Source organism: Homo sapiens, chromosome 4 (assembly GCF_000001405.40).
Source record: "Homo sapiens chromosome 4, GRCh38.p14 Primary Assembly".
Lineage (NCBI taxonomy): Eukaryota > Metazoa > Chordata > Mammalia > Primates > Hominidae > Homo > Homo sapiens.
This window is the reverse complement of record NC_000004.12, coordinates 6,114,936-6,133,893: the sequence shown is the minus strand read 5'-3', so window position 1 is coordinate 6,133,893 and position 18,958 is coordinate 6,114,936. Positions and strand designations below refer to the sequence as shown.

Genomic DNA, 18,958 nt, shown 5'->3' with positions numbered 1-18,958 from the left:
GGCTTCAAAGGTCCCTGCAGCCAAGAAGAGAGAGAAGAGTGATGTGAGCTTTTAAGAGCTTTAGCCCAGAAGTGACACAGGTCAGGTCTAGTCATATGACCCCTACCTCCTGCAAGGGAATCTGGGAAATGTCAGGAACTGTGTGGCAGATTTGCCAAGGACACCGTGGGGAACACACTTGCTGGGGTGCCAAGGCCAGGAGGACACATTGTTGTTGGGAAGCATGGTCCCAGGGCAAAATTAGCTTTGCAAGAAACTTGGTAAAACAATGATTCTCCCTCCATGCGCCCCCTGCCCACCACCCACTATCAGGCATTAACATCATGGCTAGAAACTAGACCCACAGAAGGAACAGAGTTGCAGAGGGGAGATGAATGAATCTGCTTGCGTCAGGCTGGGAAGGATTAATTTCTTTGAGAACTCTTGTTCATTTGCTTTTTAAGGAATTGAGTTTAACATGGGCTCTGTCTCTCTATTGCTCTCCTTCCCTCCCTCTGAAAGTATAAATAATACGGAGTACTTGTTCTAACCTTTTTCATATGGAAACAAAATGTTTATGGTTGTACGTCTTCTAAGGCTTTCAAAGAGCTTGTGCTCGAAGTCACCATCCCCATTATCAATGGAGGTACCTTGGCACTGAGCAGGAGCGGAGGTCTGCCTATAGAATATTCAGGAGCTTAGCTAACTTTAAAATTCTGGCTGGCATGGGCATTGTCTTTGTGATTTTCATTCAGATTTGTCATTATGAGGTTTTTTTGGTGTTCTGTTGGGCCATATTATTTCATTATGAGCTCCTTGAGTATCATTTTTATAATGACATTTTTATCTGATTGAATTTATTACAAAGATCTTTTTTTAATTAAAAAAAATAAGGCTTGCTTTTTTGGTTGTAGTTTAGAGATTGTGTCAACACCAAGAGATGAACAGTGGCTGGGAATTAATTGCTGCTTGCATTTCCCTTAATTGACTATGAATGTGTAGAAGTTGGCTGGCTTTGTGCATGCGAGTCTTGAAATGCAGTGCTTTCTTGTAGCACAGAAACAAATAACACAAGTTGTGCCTTGTTTTTTGATCCACCCCAACAGTCTCTTTTATTGGTGTATTTAGACCGTTGACATTTAAAGTGATTATTGATAGAGGTGGATTAATATCTATAGTATTTGTTACTATTTTCTGTTTGTGACCCTTAATCTTTGTTTCTATTTTTGTCTTCTACTCCTTTTCTGCTTTCTTTTTTTTTTTTTTTATTTTTGAGGCAATGTCTGGCTCTGTCACACAGGCTGGAGTGCAGTGGTGAGATCTCAGCTCACTGCAACCTCCACATCCCAGATTCAAGCGATCCTCCTGCCTCAGCCTCCCAAGTAGCTGCGACTACCGGTGTGCACCACCACTCCTGGCTAATTTTTGTATTTTTAGTAGAGACGGGGTTTCACCATGTTGGCCAGGCTGGTCTTGAACTCCTGACCTCAAGTGATCTGCCCGCCTCGGCCTCCCAAAGTGCTAGGATTACAGGTGTGAGCCACCGTGCCCAGCTGCCTTCTGTGGTTTTAATAACATTTCCATGCTCTGTCCTTCTGAACATATCAAGTGTACTTTTTAAAAAACTTTTTTTAGTAGTCACCCTAGAGTTTGCAATATACATTCACAACTAATCCAAGTCCACTTTCAAATAACAACACACTGCTTCCTGTGTAGTGGAAGCATCTCATAACTCATGAGTCCCGTTTCGTCTCTCCCATTCATTGCTCTTATCCATAAGCTGTACCCATCAATTACACTGTTGCTGTTATTATTTCAAACAAACTGTTCTAGTCAGTCAATTAAGAATAAAAAATGATTTTATTTTATCTTCACATATTCCTTCTCTAAAATTCTTCCTTTCTTTATGTGAGTCTGAGTTTCTGACCTTTGTCATTTTCCCTCAACTCTGAAGAGCTGCTTTTAATCTTCCTTTTTCCAAGGCAGGTGTCCATAGCAAATTCTTTAAATTTGTGTTTGTCTGGAGAAAGACTTTCTCCTTCATTTTTGAAGGATAATTTCATAGGCTACAGAATTCTACACTGGTGAGTTTTTTCCTCTTCTCATCACTTTAAGTATTTCCCTCTCCTCTTTCTTGCTTGCATGGTTTCTGCAGGGAAGTCGGATGTATTAATAATTTTTGGTTTAGACAGAATCTCACTCTGTCGCCCAGGCTGGAGTGCAGTGGCACCATCTGGGCTCACTGTAACCCCTGTCCCCTGGGTTCAAGCCATTCTCATGCCTCAGCCTCCTGAGTAGCTGGAATTACAGGCACGCACCACCATGCCTGGCTAATTTTTGTAGTTTTTGTAGAGATGGGGTTTTGCCATGTTGCCTAGGCTGATCTCGAACTCCTGGCCTCAAGTGATCCACCCACCTCAGCCTCCCAAAGCATTGGGATTACAGGCATGAGCCACCATGCCAGGCCCCAGTATCTTTTCTTTATCTCTACTTTTCTGCAGTTTGCATATGATATGCTAAGTGTAGGGTTTTGTTTTTTTTTTTTTTTGGCAGTTATCCTTCTTGCTATTTTCTGAGCTTCCTGGATCTGTGGTTTGGTGTCTGACATTAATTTTGTGAAATTCTCAGATACTATTGCTTCAAATATTTCTTCAATTTCTTCTTCTCTTTCTCATCCTGTTATTCTTTTTTTTATATATGTGTTTATACCTTTTGTAGTTGTCTTATAGTCCTGGGATATTTTTTTTTTTTTGGAGGCAAGGTCTTACTCTGTCATCCAGGCTGGAGTGCAGTGGTGCAATCATGGCTTACTGCAGCCTCAACCTCCTGAGCCCGGGTGATCCTCCCACTTCAGCTGAGGTGGGAGGTGTATATCCCCACACATAACTAAGTTTTGTGTTTTTTGTAGAGACAGGGTTTCATCATGTTGCCCATGCTGGTCTTGAACTCCTGGGGTCAAGCAATTTGCCTTCCTCAGCCTCCCAAAGTGCTGGGGTTATAGGTTTGAACCATCGCGCCTGACTGTCCTGGGATATTCGTTTTTTTTATTTATTTATTTTTAGTCTTTTTTTTCATTGCTTTCCAGTTAGGAAATATTCTATTGACGTATGTTGAAGCCCACTGCTTCTTCCTTCAGCTGTGTTCGGTCTACTAATGAGCCCATGAAAGGCATTCTTCATTTCTGTTAAAGTTCTTTTTATTTCTAGCTTTTCCTTTTTATCCTTTTTTTAGAATTTTCATCTCTGCTTACATTGCCCATCTGGTTTTGCATGTTGTCTGCTTTTTCCATTAGAATCCTTGGCATATTAATCGTAGTTCTCTTAAAGTTCCAGTCTGATCATTCCAGCTTCTCTACCATGTCTGCTTCCAATGTTTGGGCTCTCTTTTTTGCCTTTTAGTATGCTTTGGAATGTTTTTTGTTGAGAGCCAGACATGATGCATTTGGTAAAAGGGACCTAAACTGGTTCCTGTGGAGGTTTTTGCTGTGGTATGTTGTGATTCTGTGTATCTGCCTGTCTGCCTTTCCAAATGTTGGAGCAGTAGTTTGTCCTATGACCTCAGTTGTCTGATGGATCCAAGAAAAGTTCTTGATTTGCATTCTGTTTAACTTGCCTTATTTAGACGGGAGTCATGCTTCTAAGCTCCTTATGTGACAGACCAGAAACTAAAAGTTTGATTCAATTCTCATTGCGTCCCCGCTCCCTCCTTCTTCCCCTGCCTCCCTTCCTCTTATATAGAGTCCCCCACTTCATTGGGCAGGACTTTGCCAAAGTGGCCTGGGGCAGGTAAGTGCAGAGTATTGCCCTAACTGGAAGTTTCTCTGATCTTTCTGGGGTTGGCATGATGAGCTGGACCTGGGCTCTGTGGGTCTCTGACCATGAGGCCAGAGGTGTCCCAGAGTCTTCCAAATTTAGAGAGGCCTCTTCTCCTGAACTTGGCTTCACTGGGACATATCAAGATGGACTTGTTAGGACCAGGAGAAGGAGGCTGTTGAGGGCAGGGTCGTTGTGGTGGTCAGCTGTTGCAGTGTCTCCTGCAGTCCTCCACAGCAGAGGTGAACGTGATGATTCTTTGACTGGGGGACAGTGACAGGTGATGGTGGCAATTGAGGCTGCCAGAAACAGGAAGGGTGTTTTGACCTCAGAATACTTTTCTAGGGGCGGGAGTTGTGCTTCATGGAGAAATCTCATCATAACCTCTTTGGTCATATTTACAATGCAGAGGGATGGCTTCCTCCTGATCTGTGTAGGGAAATATTGAGAACGGCAGCTGAGTGGGGGTCTGGACAAAGGAACTTTCAGCAGGAATGGCCATCAGCATCATGAGGGCAGGGCACGGTGGGTCCTGCTTGGTATCCTGGTCCCTGTACCAGCATGGCACCTGGCTTTCAGGAGACATGGCACAAACTTGTGCTGAACAGATAATGGGGTGATGTGTTTAACCAGTCGACTTCAATGTGATCTCAAACCTTGTAGATCATAGAGATCAAACACTCATGGCTTTGTTTATCCAAGAGCAAGGCCAAGGACCCTTAATGGTCAGTACCTTACCATTTAGCCAAAGGCCACATTTAAATATCAATGGTTCCTGGCTGGCATGGGGTGGGGCCACGCCCAGCATCTGACCACACATGTGCCAGCTCTTGTCCAGTTGTACTTGATTCTGCAGAAGGGGGGACTATTTTTATCAAGGAATCAGGAAACCTGTGTCCCTTGATGGCTGGATGGCGTGTGTCCTCCTGCCTGAACTCTGTAGATGTGAAGACACCCCACAGTGCGGAGTGAAAGTGGGGTGTGTGATGTCTTCATCATCCAGCAGGCATCCAAAGAGGGCTCCCAGGGGTACTGTCACCTGCTCTGGGCAAGGCACCTTGCCTGGTACTGGAGATTCAACTAAACCTGATGGTGTGGAAGGAGCTCTGAAGGTTGCAAGTGGACCCGACGCCCGGGTGAGACGGCCAGGGGCCGGGCAAGGCACCCCCTGGGTGTGGGGGTTCTGGGCAGTGGGCCGCCACAGGCAGGTTCCTGTTACTGCTGTTTTATCTCTCTGCAGGGGTGAGGTGTGGCTGATGCTTGCTATAGGTGGTGCCTTCTGGTGGCCCTGCAGGGGTGGCTAGGAGGAGGAGGGTCAGGGAGACCCTGAAGGCCTGTGAGGTCAGCCAGCTGCAGGTGGCAAGGCTGGGGGCACCAGAAGGACTCTAGAGAGGACTTGGCAGGTGGAGCATGGGACTTGGGCAGTGCACGTGGGGAGCGAGCCCCGGAGGGAATGGACGGAGGAGGCACGTGGCTCCCGTGTTTGCTCATCCGGGCTGGGGCTTTGTCAGGCAGACAATGGATCCGTTCATTTTTTTTCCACTTGAAGAAGCACATTGAAGACCAGCTGGGTCTCCTGTTGTGGGGACAAATTTCCCAGCCCACGGGCTTGGACCTTGTGCCAATAAAGACTCCCCTTCCCTCCCTCCCCGCTCCTGGTCCCTTCTGAGCTCATTCACTGCTTGCAGCCCCTGGGCCCCAGCTACGGAAGCAGGTGGCCTTCTGTCCACCCATTTGGAGAACACACCTGTGGGGACACTTCCCTTGCCCTGACTCCATGGAAAGACACCACTTGTGGGGCTCTGATAGTCCAGGAGCCTGGATGCAGTGAGAGATCCTCCTTTCACAGATGGGGAAACTGAGGCCCAGACAACTCAGAGAACTGACCCTAGACCCCGAGTGACCCACCTGGGAGGTGAATCCATGTCCGTCTGGCTCTAAAGCCCTTTTCTAACCACATGACTGTGGCCAGTTTCTGTCTCGGGCCCCAGCATCTTCACCCGCAGGTGGAGGTGGTGGTAATCCTGGCATCACAGCCTTTACAGGGCATCTTTGTAGGGGTCAAATGAGATTGTCCTGTGAAAGGCAGATGGGGCGCCTGATACATAGCAGGTGTTACCCAGAGATGGGGGTGGTGGGATGGGAACTTCCCGATCTCTAAAGGGCTCCTGTGTGCGGGAAGGGGAGTGGACGCATTTTGGGGGCTTCCGAGTGCCCGGAGGAGCTAAGGGCAGAGGTTAGACGGGCGTCAGTTTTTGTTTGCTTCTTTTTGGTTCGAAATGAGAAGTGCTTTCTGAAGTGAGAGCTGCCAAGGGTGAGCCCGAGTGGGGCCTCCTGTCACTGGAAGGACTTTCGAGAGAGGCTGGGGGACCACGTGTCAGGGAAAGGGGATCAAGGAGGGAATCCCACAGGAGTGAAGGGGGGATGTGGCCTGTGGGGCCTTCCCAGGTGTGCCCTGGCCTTGTGTTCCTTCACATTGTTTCTCTTCACACGGTGCGGGGCCACCTCCCAGCCTGCCAAGTCCTGTCACAGCTGTTGCCCTGTTTGGGCCTCACCAACGTGCCAGTGAGGTCCCACCAAGCCATTTGCCAGGGAGCCTGAGGCTGACAACCGATCCTCCCCTGCTGGGCCCAGCCTGTGACCCTTCTTGCTCCCTCAGGCACAGGCTTCCCCTGGCACAGTCTCTCCCATCTCCTCTGCTTCCCATCTTTCCTTCCAGAATGGCCGGTTTTCAGCAAACTCCACGGTGTGAGTTTTCCGTGTGTGGGGTGTGCCATGCTTGTGGCTCCGAGCCTCAGTTTTCTCATCTCTAAATTGGGGGAACAGCCTATGCCCTGGCTGCCCCCGGGCTTGCTGTGGCTCAGATGGGTCAGGTGGGCAGGGTGAGCAGCACGTAGTGAGGTGGACGGGGCTCGCTGGCCAGGCGACGTGCCAGGCTCTGAAGCCCCCCAGCCCATTTTCCCCCAGAAGAAAGAGAATGACGTCCCTTGGCCGGGGATTGCTGGGGAGCCTGCCCTGCTCGGAGCCACCAACTCTGTGCGGCCGGGTGTGGTATGGGGGTGTGTCTTCTGTGTGTGTGTGTGGCATATGTGGTATGGGTTTCTGTATGATGTGTGTGATGTCTATGTATGGTGTGGTGTGTGTGTTGTATGGGAGTATGTTTGTGTATGATGTGTATATTTGTGTGTGGTGTGTATCTGTGGTGTGTGTGTGTATGTGGCATATGTGGTATGGGTTTCTGTATGATGCATATGTAATGTCTGTGTGTGGTGCATGGGTTGTGTTTCTGTATGATGTGTGTGCGTGCGCTTGTGAGTGGTGTATGGGTGTGGGGGGGCGCATGTGTTGTGTGTTTCTGCCTGGTGTGTGTGTGTGCATTTGTTTCTGTATGGTGTGGGCATGCTTGTGGGTGGTGTATGTATGGGTGTGTGTGGGGGGGGCATGTGTGGTGTGTTTCTGCATGGTGTGTGTTTGTGTGTGTGTGTGTTTCTGCATGGTGTGTGTGTTTCTGCATGGTGTGTGTGCGTGTGAGTGTTTCTGCATGGTGTGTGTTTGTGTGTGTGTGTTTCTGTATGGTGTGTGTGCATGTGTGTTTCTGTATGATGCGTGTTTGTGTGTTTCTACATGGTGTGTGTATGTGCATGTGTGTTTCTGCATGGTGTGTGTTTGTGTGTGTGTGTTTCTGTACGGTGTATGTTTGTGTGTGTGTTTCTGTATGATGTGTGTTTGTGCATGTGTGTGTTTCTGCATGGTGTGTGTGTGTGTGTTTCTGCAAGGTGTATGTTTGTGTGTGTGTTTCTGTATGGTGTGTGTGTGTTTCTGCATGGTGTGTGTGTTTGTGTGTGTGTGTGTTTCTCCATGGTGTGTGTTTGCGTGTGTGTGTTTCCGCATGGTGTGTGTTTGTGTATGTGTGTTTCTGCATGGTGTGCGTTTGCATGTGTGTGTTTCTGCATGGTGTGTGTTTGTGTTTGTGTGTTTCTGCATGGTGTGTGTTTGTGTGTGTGTGTTTCTGTATGGTGTGTGTTTGTGTGTGTGTTTCTGCACGGTGCGTGTTTGTGTGTGTGTGTTTCTGCATGGTGTGTATGGTGTGTGTGTGTTTCTGTATGGTGTGTGTGTGTGTTTCTGCATGGTATGTATGGTGTGCGTGTGCATGGTGTGTATGGTGTGTGTGTGTTTCTGCATGGTGTGTATGGTGTGTGTGTGTGTTTCTGCATGGTGTGTATGGAGTGTATGGCGCGAGTTTCTGTATGGGGGGTGTGTGTGTGTTTCTGCATGGTGTGTATGGTGTGTGTGTGTGTTTCTGTATGGTGTGTGTGTGTTTCTGCATGGTGTGTATGGTGTGCGTGTGTGTTTCTGTATGGTGGGTATGGTGTGTGTGTGTGTTTCTGTATGGTGTGTATGGTGTGCGTGTGTGTTTCTGCATGGTGTGTATGGTGTGTGTGTGTTTCTGCATGGTGTGTATGGTGTGTGTGTGTGTTTCTGTATGGTGTGTGTGTGTGTGTGTTTCTGCATGGTGTGTATGGTGTGTGTGTGTGTTTCTGTATGGTACCTGCATGTTTGTGTCTGTAACATGCACAGAATCACCCTCTCCTGGACACATAACGGACTCTCAGGTGTCTGTTGGGTGCAGAATGAACAACCTGACCCAAAACAGGAAGTCCTGACAGTGTGGGCCACTGTAGCCATAGATGGAGCTGGGAGAGTGGCATTGGGTGGCCTGTGTCCCAGCTTGGTGGGACTGTGTGGCCCTGTCTGCGGGGAGGGGCTTGAGGGTCTTTGCCCTTGGGATGGGAGGGTCCTAGGTGAGGGGTCAGCCAGCCCGGGTGGGGGTGCTCCCGCTGCTGCAGTGCTGATGACATAATTGCCCAGGGAAGTGGAAGCTGAGGGCACCTCAGAGAGCTGGGGCTGGGGACTGTGGTGCCTATGTGGGGTGGCACACACACCATACACACCATGCAGAAACGCACACATCCCCCTCCCTGACCTCCACATCACATGGGCTGGGTGCTGTCCTCCTAGCCCTATGGCCTTTGACCATAGCCTGGCTGACCACTGGTGGGGAAGAGGCAGGTTCTCCTCTCCTACTCCCTCTGTGACCTACAGCCCCTGACCTGTTAGGCCTCAGTTTTCTCATCTGTAAAATGGGTCTGTCTCCTGTGGCAATCTCAACCCAGCTGGCCTCATAGTCCTGGAGATAGATGGTCACCCGATGGTGGCCTAAAGTCAGGCTTGGGCCTCAGGGACACCCGATCTTGCTTGCAGAGCAGAAAAGGTTTGCCCCAAAGAGGTGTGGCCCAAGCCAAGTACTGGGGACAGTTAGAAGGTGATCCCAGGTGGCCTGTGAGCTAGAGAAGGGCACATGCAGAGGCCTGCAGGGGACAGCAGGCATGGCCCAGGCTGGAGCAAGGAGCAGGGTGCAGTGCAGAGGCCTGGCTGCTGTAGCCATGGACACTTTTTCCCCGACAGGGCATCAGCAGGGAACGGTGGGGAGGGTCACTCCCCATGGCCCTAGAGCCTGGATGGATTGGCATATAGGCCTAGACCAGGGGAGGCCACTGTGTCACACGAATGCAGACAGGCAAGGGTGAGGGCTGGCTGGGGTGGTGGCAGTAGGGGACACCTCTGAGAACTGGTGATAGAGGACAGTTCTTGGTGGCTGGATGTTGAGGGTTGGGGAAGCCTGAGGCCCATTTGTGGATTAAGCCGCCACACTTAAGCGTGGAATTGGGTCCAGGTCACTAAGTACTCCTGAATGTGCTGGTGCAGGTGGCAGCTCTGCCGTCATTTCTATGTTGATGAGACCCACCAGCTGTGACCTCTTGGCATCAGTGATGGGACACAGGGCTTGGGAGCCCTGGCCACAGGTGGCCCTCTCTGGGATTAGCAATGGTCGCCAGCCCTCGTTCCACGTGGTGCCGTCCGCACGGCCCACCCCCATTATGGATGGAGAGTCCTGCGTGGAGAGAACACAGCCGGGCCAGGGCCATGGCGGGAATGGTGGCAGAGCTGGGGCAAGTGACTAAGCCTCCTGCTCCTCATTCCGGGTCCTCTCTATGGCACCTCACCTCCAAGCCCAGAGTACGTGTTAGGAAAACCTAACTTGGTTGACATTATTGATACGCCTCATGGAAGTTTCATTTAAAACTCCCTCTAACTATTTTGCATCAGTATAAAAAGAGACAGCAAGCACCTTGTTAATTTCCTATAATTGGAAAATGAGGTCTCCTAAGAAAGTTAATTTCCTAGACTTCCCAGGCCTTTTCTTTTTTGTGTGTTTTAGGGACAGGGTGTCACTGCTCTGTCGCCCAGGCTGGAGTGCAGTGGCGCCACCATAACTCACTGCAGTTTTGAACTCCTAGGCTCACATGCTCCTCCCACCTCAGTCTCCTGGGTAGCTAGGACTACAGGCTTGCACCACCACATCCAGCTAACTTTTACATTTTTTTGTAGAGACAGGGTCTTCCTCTCTTGCCCAAACTGGTCTTGAACTCCTGGGCTCAACCATCCTCCTGCCTTGGGCTCTCAGAGTGCTGGGATTAGAGGCTTGAGCCACCATGCCCAGCCTGAGGCTTCTTCTTTTTAAGTATTAAAAGACTTTATTTTAATCTCCTCTCTCTCTTTTGGGGTGGTGGCATGGTGGAAAAATCTTTGCTTTCTGGAAAATCTTTGCTGCCTTTCATTTTCCTGCCTGTGTCTTCGCCTTTTGCACGATGCTGTCTTCCAGTTCCCTGTGTCCCTTAGGCCCCGGGGCTGGAAGAACAGACAGCTCAGCTGCTAGGATTACGTGAAAATCCTGAGAATCAAGCTGTGCCCCTGGGACGGGGGCTTTGCCTACTGTGTGGTGTGCACTGGCTCTGGGTGAGGGGTTTGGGCCCCCCAGAAGCCATGCCTCCTTTGCCAGTGGCAACAGCTCTGTTCCACGGGACTGTACAACCTCAAGATAGGTGTGCATTTTCGAGGGTATGTTGCAAACTAGTAGCATTGTCAGAAAATAGAAAAACTAACAGAGCCTTTTGCATTTCCTAAATTATTAGAATGTTAACAAGTGACATCTTTCGTTTAAAGGGTTTTGTAGTTTGCAATTAAGTCATTATAATTGTTAACTGTTACCGAGTCCTTATTACGGTCTGGTCCCTGTTCTGAATACCTTAAAAGTATGAAACCATTTCATGCCCAAAACAACCTTAGGAGGAAGGAATTATTACTAGCCTCATTTTCTGATCAAGAAATTGAGGCACAGAGAGGAGACAGAAGTCTCCTGTCTGAGGTCACACAGCTAGTAAGTGGCAGAGCTAAGAATCCACCCAGTCACTCTGGCTCCTGAGCCCGTGCTCTCGCCCTCCACATCCCCCTCCCTGACCTCCATATCACATGGGCTGGGTGCTGTCCTCCTAGCTTTGCAGCTGACGAAACAACAGTTCAGGGGTATGAACTGACGTCTCCCGCATCCTAGAGCCGGCACTTGCTTGTGTGGGACTTGAATTCAGGTCAGCAGCTGCTCCCTCTAACCTCTATTTATATCACATTATGTTATTTTTCTTCATAAGGCCTCTGCCATGCCTTGAATCTCAGCACCATCTTTTAAAGACAAGAATCTTTTGTGATTTCATGCTAAATATGCAATGCAGCGTCTTTGTAGTTCCTTTAGAAAATGTATCCAGGCAAAAATCAAATCCTAAAAGAAGGAAAAACCCAAGTACCCTAACCTCTTTCAAAGATGTCCTGTCTCAATAGATTGTAAATATTTGTCTACGCTATTTTATTATTATTACTATTTGAGACAGGGTCTCACTCTGTCGCCCAGGCTGGAGTGCAGTGGTTCGATCTCGGCTCACTGCAACCTCTGCCTCCTAGGTTCAAGCGAATCTCCTGCCTCGGCCTTCTGAACAGTTGGGATTACAGGCTAATTTTTGTACTTTTAGTAGAGACGGGGTTTCACTATCTTGACCAGGCTGGTCTTGAACTTCTGACATCAAGAGATCCGCCCGCCTCGGCCTCCCAAAGTGCTAAGGTTACAGGCGTGAGCCACTGCATCCGGCCCTGTCTATGCTATTTTAAATGCCTACACTTAAATATAAGCCTGCCTACAAATGCACATATATACAGCGTATATTATATGCAGTATATATACACATTATATGTACATATACACTGTAGTATGCTGTATGTACGATTGTATAAGTTGCTTTTTCCATTTAATAGGTGGCAAACCTCAGAGCTGGCAGAGTGATGCCCACAGGTCAAATCTGGTCCACAGATGGCTTTTGTTTGGGCTGAAACATATTTAAACAAATTTATGTGAATTCATTTCTAATGTATACAAATTGGAAAATTTCACATAAAAATCAATGTTAGCTTTCTCCGGAAAAATCAGATCTGGTTCCTCTGTTTAATGCTCTTGAACATGGCTGGAGCCGCGCTGCGATCACTGGAGTAGATGGCGTGTGCCGAGGGCTCACTCCAGTGACTTCCTGCACGTTTGCTGTGTGCTCCCTGCTAGGTCCGGGGGCAGCCTGCACGTCTGTTGTGATGGCGTACACTTCTCTACTGCATACCCATCACGGGATTTAGTCGTGCAGTTTTGTAGTACAAGGAATTCCCTATGGCTGGACATTTAGGTTGCTTCCAACTTTTGCCCTCCTGATGCCTGGCACCGTTCTTCGGAAGGTGAGAGGGAAGTTGAAGGCAAGAGAGTATTGGTCTCCAAACAGTCACGTTGTTCCGGGCCTGAACACTGAGGACCATTTGACGCCCTTGCTCCTTACGCAGCCCACTGTTGATAGAGTCATAGGAAAAATCCTGGGTCAAGCTATGGACATTGTTGGCAAATCTGGCAGCACATGCCAGTGAGAATGATGATGCTGATGAAGATGAAGCTGCTGCCATTTTTTTTTTTTTTTTTTGAGACAAGGTCTGGCTCTGTTGCCCAGGCTGGAGTTCAGTGGTGCAATCTTGGCTCACTGCAACCTCTGCCTCCCAGATTCAAGTGATTCTCCTGCCTCAGCCTCCCAAGTAGCTGAGATTATAGGTGCGCACCACCTTGCCTGGCTAATTTTTGTATTTTTAGTAGAGACAGGATTTCACCATGTTGGCCGGGCTGGTCTTGAACTCCTGATCTCAGGTGATCCGCTTGCCTCGGCCTCCCAAAGTGCTGGGATTACAGGTGTGAGCACTGTGCCCGGCCTGCTGCCATTTTTTGAGCTTGCTTTGTGCCAGGAAGTGTGCCAAGAAATGCCCAAACCTGAAGGCACTTAGCCTCCAGCAGCTCTGTGGAGTGGGGACTCGGACAGCCTCTGAGTCTCCACTTGGGCCATAAAGGACGCATGGAAGGAGCTGAAGCTGGCCTGGGGTGTGAGCTTCACTCTGGTATTTCAGTTCTGCTCAAAAGAGAACCCAGTATCATCTCTTTCATTATTTTGTTGATTGCATAAACAGCATGGCCACCATCACTGGATTTTAAACGAAACTGAAAATCGTGGGATGTGAACTGATGAGAAGCACATTCCCCATCTCTCCAGGTGCTGCCCGGCAGGGCTCACATGCCACTGTTGTCCGTGGGCCTCCCTCCCTGTCTCTGCCTGGGCTGTTTCTGAGTGGGCTGATGTGCCTTTGCTCATTCAGCCATCAATAACTTTTGGGTCCTGAGGTTATTTCCAGTTTTCCACTGCCATCAACAATTCAAATGATGCTACTCGCAACATCTTTAGGCAGATTGCTCTTTCCTTTCGGGAATTGCTTCCTTAGAATAAATTTCCAGGAAGCATATTACTGCGCCTGGGGTAGGAATATGGCTGTAGCTTTTTAAGTCAGTACAATCAATTTGGATTTAGATATTTAAAACAAAGTCATGTACTTACTCAGAGAGAGATTTTTTTCCTAAGGGCTCATTAAGTAATGAATGTTTGTTAAAAAAAAAAAAAAAGTGTGGCTAGATTCTTTAGGATAAACTGTTTTCTGTCCACAGAAAGGATTTGACTCTACCAACCTAGCCCATTCATATTTTCTCCACGGAGACCCCTGGGATTTCCACGTAATTTTTGGTGAAGTTTGCAGGAAGTGTTACAAAGACTTCTTGGTGATGGGCTGGAATTTCTGCTTATCAGATATTATTTGGACTTGAGTTGTCTTGAAGGAGCTACTTTTCTTTTTGTGCCTATGTTACTTGAATCCTCCTATAAAACTATCAGGCCATGTGGGGCTGGAGGCAGGAGACCTGGGTTGGAAAGCCCATGGCTGCCACCGGGTCATCCAACAATCTTGGGCAACTCACTTCTGCTTTCTGAGGCTTACTTTTTCCATCTGCACCTTGGAGGCAAAGGTCCCTTCTGATCTCACCTTGCAGGTTGTGAATTGTGACTGTAGAGGGATGTGAGCAGCCCTGTTCAGCCGGGAGGCATTGTGGTTTCTTGATGAGATCACACACAGTGTGGAGAGGGGCAAGGCAAGGCTTATTCAGACTCGTGTTCTGAGGAGCTGGTTGCCTTCCGGCATTAAACAAAGTGCTGACTGTGTCCCAGGAGTGGTTTTTTTTTGTTGTTGTTGTTGTTTGTTTGTTTTTGAGACGGAGTTTTGCTCTTGTTGTCCAGGCTGGAGTGCAATGGCGTGATCTCGGCTCACCGCAACCTCCACCTCCCGGGTTCAAGCGATTCTCCTGGCTCAGCCTCCCAAGTAGCTGGGATTACAGCCATGCGCAACCACGCCCAGCTAATTTGTACATTTAGCCGAGAGGGGGGTTTCTTCATGTTGGGTCAGGCTAGTCTCGAACTCCCAACCTCAGGTGATCCACCTGCCTCGGCCTCCCAAAGTGCTGGGATTACAGGCGTGAGCCACCGCGCCCGGCCCCAGGAGTGGTTTTTCCCTGCATGCCTGGTATATTAATTTCCTGTGGCCTCTATAAAGCATGACCACAAACTGGGTGGTAAACAGAAATTTACTCTCGCAGTTCTAGAGGTCAGAAGTCCCAAATCACAGTGCTGGCAGGGTCGCATTCCCTTAAAAAAAGCTGTCAGTCCTTCCCCGCTCCAGCTTTGGGTGGCTGTCGGCTGTCCTGGGCTTCCCTGGTGTGGCCGCAGTGCTCCGGTCTCTTCCCTGACTTCGCTTGGGCTTCTCCTCTGTGTGTCTTCTCTGTGCATCTCCTAGAAGGACTCTTGTCAATGGATTTAGACTTCATCCTACTGCAGGATGATTTCATCTTGAGATCTTTAACTTCGTTACATCTTCAAAGATGCTTTTTCCTAATAAGGGTACATCTGCAGGTTCTGGGGAGCAGGATGTGATCGTATTTCTTTGGGGGCCACGATTCAGCCCGCCTCAGCCCTCATTGGCCAGAAGCTGGCCCATGTTGGCCAACCAGAGCTCTGCGCTTGCCTCCTGTGGCCTCAGTCCAGGGTCCCAGTCCTTCTGCTTGCCTCTACAATGTTGTCACCACGAAGCTGTGCTTTAATGAAGAGAGGAAATTTTGCAGGAGGCCTAAGAAGGCCAGACAAGGCCTTGCACCCAGTGCATGGGCAGATATTGGTGGTGGGCATCGTGGAAGGCTGTGGGGTCAGGCCAAGAGCCTGGCATATAGGTCAAGGTTGGCGAATATCCACCTCCTGCGAACCAATCCTGTTGGCTCCAGAACTGAAATATCTCTGCAGCCCACCCATCTCTGACACCACATGCCCCTTGTCCCAGCCTCCATGTCATTTGTCTGTGTCTCAGCAGCCCAGGTGCCTTTTAAACAGCAGGATGATGGTCACAGAGCCTCTGCAATGCTTCCTGTGTGACAGGCAGGGACCCATTTCACCCTCACCACCACCAGTGGGATACAGCTATTACCTGTTGCGGGAAGTCAGGGACCCCAAACGGAGGGACCGGCTGAAGCCATGGCAGAAGAACGTGGATTGTGAAGATTTTATGGACATTTATTACTTCCCCAAATTAATACTTTTGTAATTTCTTATGCCTGTCTTTACTGCAGTCTCTAAACATAAATTGTAAAGATTTCATGGACACTTATCACTTCCCCAATCAATACCCTTGTGATTTCCTATGCCTGTCTTTACTTTAATCTCTTAATCCTGTCAGCCAAGAAGGATATGTATCGTCTCAGGACCCTGTAATAATTGCGTTAACTACACAAATTGTACAGCATGTGTGTTTGAGCAATATGAAATGTGGGCACCCTGAAAAAAGAACAGGATAACAGCAATTGTTCAGGGAATAAGAGAGAGAACCTTAAACTCTGACCGCTGGTGAGCCAGGCAGAACAGAGCCGTATTTCTCTTCTTTCAAAAGCAAATGGGAGAAATATCGCTGAATTCCTTTTCTCAGCATGGAACGTCCCTGAGAAAGAGAATGCGCACCTAGGGGTAGGTCTCTGAACTGGCCCCCCGGGGCGTACCTGTCTCTTATGGTCAAGATTGCAGAGGTGAAATAAACTCCAGTCTCCCATAGCGCTCCCAGGCTTATTAGGAAGAGGAAATTCCCGCCTAATAAACTTTGGTCAGACCGGTTGATCTCAAAACCCTGTCTCCTGATAAGATGTTATCAATGACAATGGTGCCCAAAACTTCATTAGCAATTTTAATTTCACTTCGGTCCTGGTCCTGTGGTCCTGTGATCTTGCCCTGTCTCCACTTGCCTTGTGATATTCTATTACCCTGTTAAGTACCTGATGTCTGTCACCCACACCTATTCGTATACCCCCTCCCCTTTTTGAAACTCCCTAATAAAAACTTGTTGGTTTTTGTGGCTTGTGGGGCATCACGGATCCTACCAATGAGTGATGTCTCCCCCGGACGCCCAGCTTTAAAATTTCTCTCTTTTGTACTCTATTCTTTTATTTCTCAAGCCAGTCGACGCTTAGAAAAATAGAAAAGAACCTACGTGATTATCGGGGCAGGTCCCCCGATAATTACCATCTGCACTTCAGTGAAATGGAAATCCGAGTCACACCCTGCTAATGGCTTCCCAGCATGCTCAGAGCAGGGCTTGAACTCTGTCCTGGGCCAGCTTCACGGGCACACGAGCTGTGCTGTCCTGCAGGGCCTACACTCAGAGGGCCTGGCTCTTGGCTTAATGCTCTGCTGTTGCCGTCATGCAAGTCTTAATAATTTTGAACAAGGAGCCTCACGTTTTCATTTTGCACTGGGCTGCAAATACATAGCTGGTCTTGACTCTGTGCTTGGTGTAGAACCCCCACGTGGTCTGGCAGTTTGCCCTCCCCACCGCCTGCCCGTGACAGGTGATATTTGATAGCTGTGTATCACAGTGCCCTGTAGACTTGTTCTTTCCAGCACCTACCACAAGCCATCATTGTTTTATGTATTCATTTCCATAGTGGTGTTCCTGACTAGACCGTTCTGTGATGGCTGGGACCTTGTCTGGTCCTCCTGCATGCCCGGTATATTAATTTCCTGTAGGCAGTTAAAGGGCACCGGCACTGCCAAGGCACAGACAAACGACTTGGAGGCTGGGACAGGGGACATGTGATGTCAGAGATGGGTGGGCTGCAGAGATATTTCAGTTCTGGGGCCAACAGGACTGGTTTGCGGGAGATGAATATTTGCCAACCTTGGCCTATATGCCAGACAAGGTCCAGGGTCAGCAGGTCCAAGGTCCCCGTGCCTTCAGGAAGGAGCCTTCTCTGAGGACTCCGCCTCCTGTGTGTCCTGAGCAGTCATCCTCCAGCCTGCGGCGCTGAGCCAGTGCTGTGCTCCTTCCTCGACAGTGGGCTGTGCCATCTCCTGCTTGGTGGGCAGTGGGCTCAGAACGAAAATCCCCGGGCGCAGCAGACACCAAGCTAAGCTCAGGCAGGAGAGTTCCCTGCTGTTGCTCCTGCTGATGAGACCTTTGGGCAGCCCGCAGCCAGAGGGGCTGATTACAGTGATGCTGTGTGGTGCTGTGAGCGTCGGGACTATCAACAGTGTGTCCATGGCACAGAGGCCGGCTGCTGGGGCCCACCCTGAGCTCCGAGATTGACTTGGCCCAGAACTTTGGACATCTTCCCCTCCTGCACTCCATTCGTCTCCACACTCACTGTGGCCCAGCCTGGCAGTGTCTGGCATGGGGTGTTGAGAGTACCAGGCTTGGTATCAGCCCATGGAGATTTATTCACCCTGGAATCGGATCGAGCTTGGACTTTGGGCTGGGCACGGGGTAGGGTGCACAAAGGTGGGAGCTAAGGTTCTGACCCCGAGGAGCTGACACTTGACATACAGGGCAGGGCAGCCCTTTCCCCCACCGGCAGCCCAAAGAGTTGGCAGACCTGCAGCCGCCCCATCCTGCCTGCGAGGCCGGTGGGCTGCTCCTGTGGATGTGGTCCTTTTGCTTTCTCTTCAGCTTTTTAGTGGTGTCCTTCCTGGCTAATTGCAGATATTTTTCTTGCCTTTCTTAAAAAACAAAACAAAACGAAAAAACTGCACTGTTTCCTCTTAAAAGCAGTCATTGAAGTAGAACATTGTACTTACCTAGAAGAGTCTAAAGAAGAGAATAGATATCACCTATAATTGCATCCCCCAGGTGGTCCCTGTCAGTATCCTGGGGGCGTGGCTGCTATGTCCTTTCCACCGTATCCCCAGGGTGCAGGGCTGGCACCTTGCAGGTGCTCAACACATATTTGTGACTGAGTGAAAATAATGAGCAAATATATATATAGCAGACAATTGAAACTATAAATTGTATTTGTTTTTTATTTTTATGTATTTATTTATTTATTTTGAGATGGAGTCTCCCAGGCTGGGGTGCAATGGCACGATCTCGGCTCACTGCAACTTCCGCCTCCCAGGTTCAAGCAATTCTCCTGTCTCAGCCTCCTGAGTAACTGGAATTACAGGTGCGCACCACCACGCCCTGCTAATTTTTTGTATTTTAAGTAGAGAGGCAGTTTCATCATGTTGGCCAGGCTGGTCTCAAACTCCTGATCTCAGGTGGTCTGCCCACCTCGGCCTCCCAAAGTGCTGGGATTACAGGTGTGAGCCACCACACCCAGCCTGTTTTTTTATTTCACCTTTTTCACTCTTTGTGGTACTGACCTTTTCCCCATGTGGACTTTTCTGTCGGGGCTTAGACATCATTTACTTAATCTATCCCTTCTGGCTGAGCCTTGTGTTGTTGGGATGAACATCCAAGTGTTTCTATCAGAGACCGTATCTCTGGTATTTCCTTAAAGCACATTCCTAGAA

General features: G+C 49.0%; 1 protein-coding gene across 4 annotated transcripts in view, besides 3 other annotated features; it reads left to right on the top strand.

Annotated features, from left to right (window-relative positions):
- JAKMIP1 (janus kinase and microtubule interacting protein 1) overlaps positions 1–18,958 on the top strand; it is a 174,351-nt gene that overhangs the window by 66,656 nt on the left and 88,737 nt on the right. The window lies entirely within an intron of this gene.
- Positions 15,287–15,802: an enhancer, noted in NCBI's record as "H3K27ac-H3K4me1 hESC enhancer chr4:6119819-6120334 (GRCh37/hg19 assembly coordinates)". NCBI's record gives its function as "activates a minimal SCP1, AML or CMV promoter by ChIP-STARR-seq in primed H9 embryonic stem cells {active_cell/tissue: H9 hESC(primed)}" and the evidence as "EXISTENCE:reporter gene assay evidence [ECO:0000049][PMID:30033119]".
- Positions 16,319–16,834: an enhancer, noted in NCBI's record as "NANOG-H3K4me1 hESC enhancer chr4:6118787-6119302 (GRCh37/hg19 assembly coordinates)". NCBI's record gives its function as "activates a minimal SCP1, AML or CMV promoter by ChIP-STARR-seq in naive H9 embryonic stem cells {active_cell/tissue: H9 hESC(naive)}" and the evidence as "EXISTENCE:reporter gene assay evidence [ECO:0000049][PMID:30033119]".
- Positions 16,835–17,350: an enhancer, noted in NCBI's record as "H3K4me1 hESC enhancer chr4:6118271-6118786 (GRCh37/hg19 assembly coordinates)". NCBI's record gives its function as "activates a minimal SCP1, AML or CMV promoter by ChIP-STARR-seq in naive H9 embryonic stem cells {active_cell/tissue: H9 hESC(naive)}" and the evidence as "EXISTENCE:reporter gene assay evidence [ECO:0000049][PMID:30033119]".